This window comes from Homo sapiens, chromosome 15 (assembly GCF_000001405.40).
Source record: "Homo sapiens chromosome 15, GRCh38.p14 Primary Assembly".
In the NCBI taxonomy this organism is placed as follows: Eukaryota; Metazoa; Chordata; class Mammalia; order Primates; family Hominidae; genus Homo; species Homo sapiens.
The window spans coordinates 75329300-75332463 of NC_000015.10; the positions used below are offsets into that span (position 1 = coordinate 75329300).

The 3164-nt window shown below is 50.7% G+C and overlaps 1 annotated feature.

Moving 5' to 3' along the window:
* Positions 639-795: a silencer, noted in NCBI's record as "fragment chr15:75622279-75622435 (GRCh37/hg19 assembly coordinates)". NCBI's record gives its function as "represses an EF-1alpha promoter that drives an FKBP-Casp9 reporter gene in an ReSE screen in K562 erythroleukemia cells {active_cell/tissue: K562}" and the evidence as "EXISTENCE:reporter gene assay evidence [ECO:0000049][PMID:32094911]".

The window sequence follows — 3164 nt, forward strand, 5'->3', positions numbered from 1 at the left end:
GCAGAGGGGTGTCCGGGCCCCCAGGTGGGAGGCCCAAATGAGGCCTTGGTTGTGGCAGTGCAGGAATTCTAGCCAGCTCTGGGGCCCTGGGCAAGTCATTTAACCTCTCAGAACCCTACTCCTGGTCACCATGGGGCTCTTGTGTGGATGTAAAGAACCCCCCTGGCCACTTATGTCCCATCAGTGGAAGCCTAGCATGGGTGGAGACCCCCGAGACTGAACTCAGTGGTGGGATCCAGCCTTCCCAGCTCTCCTAGATAGAGCCCAGAGCCAGCAGGGTGGGCTTCCTGGAGAAGCAGGTGCTCCTGTGGGCTGGAGAGCATGAGTAGGGGTCCCTTTGGAAAGGTGGAAGAGGCTGCGGTCAGTGGAGGCCATAATGAGGCAGAGCTTGGGCAGAAGGGGCATGATTGGGGGATCTGAGGCCCAACAGAGACTGGACTGAGGACACTATGGCCACCTACAGGACACTGTGCTACTCAGGCAGTGGAAACTTAGCTAGGGCTGGGCCCCCTGGTCCTGAGTGAGGCTTCACCAGTCTTGGAAACTGTGCCCAAGGTGGCTTCATGTAAGAGCGCATCTCAGCACTTTTTTTTTTTTTTTTTTTTCTGAGACAGGGTCTTGCTTTGTCATCTAGGCTGGAATGCAGTGGCAAGATCATAGCTTACTGCAGCCTCAGACTCCTGGGCTCAAGCGATCCTCCCACCTCAGCCTCACAAAGTGCTGGAATTATAGGCCTGAGGTATGCAGCTCGGTTTTAAATCTTAATAAATATCTCCTCCTGGTCTGCTTCCCTGGCTGACACACATGCTGGAATCTTGCGCCTAGACAGACATGTTTCTGGACTTGGTTCCATTTGTTCTGACGGCCTCCTCTCTCTCAATGACCGCACATTACAGTATGTGGCTATTCTTACACATTTCTGTATAGACTTGAGGGTTAGTATATTAACGTCAAAGTTCTACTGGTTTTTCAAGGCTGGATGGAATGTTTGGGTTAATTTAGTTGTGGGCATCTTGACAATATAGGCTTTCCCTCCGGGAACGGTGATTCTGGGACGCAGGTTTTGCACATTCTGGTTTATTGCTTGGCTCGCTGCCACAGAGGGATGGCACTGCTCCACACGCCATGCCCAAGAGATGTCCCACCTTATCTTTCTAAATCAAGCTGAATATTCTCAGTTGACAGGATATCATATCAGTGCTGCGGGGACTCACTTCCCCACAACCCGAGATGAAGTGAGGTGGAGACTATGGAGCAGATCCGTGCTGACTGCATTCACCCTTCCTGACCCGCACTGCTGCTGGCCGCGGCTGTGTCTGAGTCGACAGACAGCATTGATTTGGGGACGGGGTGGGGGGGCGGTGCTGGAGAGATGCCCCTCACCTCCCTTAGCTCCTCCTGTCCAGCCAGTGCTTGGCCACCAAGGCCCCTGACTTCCAGGCCCCAGTCACCACTAACAGGGTGCTGCATGGGAACAAAGTGTAGGCCCAGAGCCTGGAGTTCAGGTCACTCCTCCTTCCAGTCGAAGCCTCTATCCCTCCCAGGTGAGTCCACCCTCATTCCTCCATGGGCCAAATATCCTAAACAAAGGCCTGGACATGGGGTCTTTATCCAAGTGCCCAGAAAACACACACAGAAAGGCTCTGCAGGCCCCCGTGGCCTGTCAGAGGTAAGAGCCTGCCCATCAAAATGCACAGTCCAGGTTCTTGCAGGGAGGTGAGGAGGGGAGGAAGAAAAGGTCTATCTCATTCTTTCAGCAGGAACCTAAACTTGGGAAAGCCAGACGCAGTACATTTCTTAATGATCCTGATACTTTTATAACTGGTTACAGCGGGGTCACATGCACAACTGTTTTCCAACATCTTTCAACGGGACACATAACATCCTGCAGCTTATTTTTTTATTTTGTAAGGCCAGGGGCAGTGGCTCATGCCTGTAATCTCAACACTTTTGGAGGCTGAGGCAGGAAGTCTGCTTGAGGCCAGGAGTTCAGGACCAGCCCAGGCAACATAGCAAGACCCAGGATACAACAGAGAAAGACCCTGGCTCAAAAAATATCTTTTCCAAGTGCAGTGCCATGATCACAGCTCACCATAGCCTCCAACTCCTGGGCTCAAGCGATACTCCCACTTCAGCAGCTGGGACTATCAGAGCGCAGCACCATATCTGGCTGATGTTTTAATTTTTAGTAGAGATGCGGTCTCACTATGTTGCCCAGGCTGGTCTTGAACGCCTGGCCTCAAGAGATATTCCCAATGCGACCTCACAATGCACTGGGGTTGCAGGCATGAGCCACCATGCAGCCCCTGCAAAATCTAACTGTCCTTCAGGTGCTCCTTTTGGACCTCCTAGCTAGACTGCCATTGGCAAATGCCAGTTGATTATCCACCCACATGTATGTTAATGGATTTCCCATGTTTTATTTGTCTAGACCAGGCTTTCTCCACAGCAGCACTGTTGATGTTTAGGGCTGGACAGTTCTCTGTTCTGGAGCTGTTTGCGCCTCGCAGGATGTTTAGCAGCATCCCCAGCCTCCGCCTGCCACATGCCAGCAGCACTCCTCAGTGTGACAGCCAAAGTGATTTCAGATACTGTCAAATATCCCCAGGGCGGCAAAATCACCTCCAGTTGAGAACTGCTGACCTAAAACCCTCTGGAACAATGTTAGATCATGGTAATGATAGCGCATACTGCTCCTGACCTTAATGGGAATACCTCTAGCATCAAAGTATAGTAGTACCTGTATACTACTGTCTGGGCTGTTATTAGTACACTGTATTAGTCCATTCTCACTCCGCTATGAAGAAATACCCAAGACTGAGTAGTTTATAAAGAAAAGATGTTTAAGTTGACTCACAGTTCTGCATGGCTGGGGAGGCCTCAGGAAACTTACAATTATGGCAGAAGATACCTCTTCCCAGGGCAGCAGGAGAGAAGGAGAGCGAATCAAAGGAGAAAGCCTGTTATAAAACCATCAGATCTCGTGATAACTCATTCACCATCACGAGAACAGCATGGGAGAAACCGCCCCCATGATTCAATTATCTCCACCTGGTCCCACCCTTGACACGTGGGGATTATTGCAATTCAAGGTGAGATCTGGATGGGGACACACAGCCAAACCAGATTATATCCTTTATATTAGCATACTGTATCGAAGTATA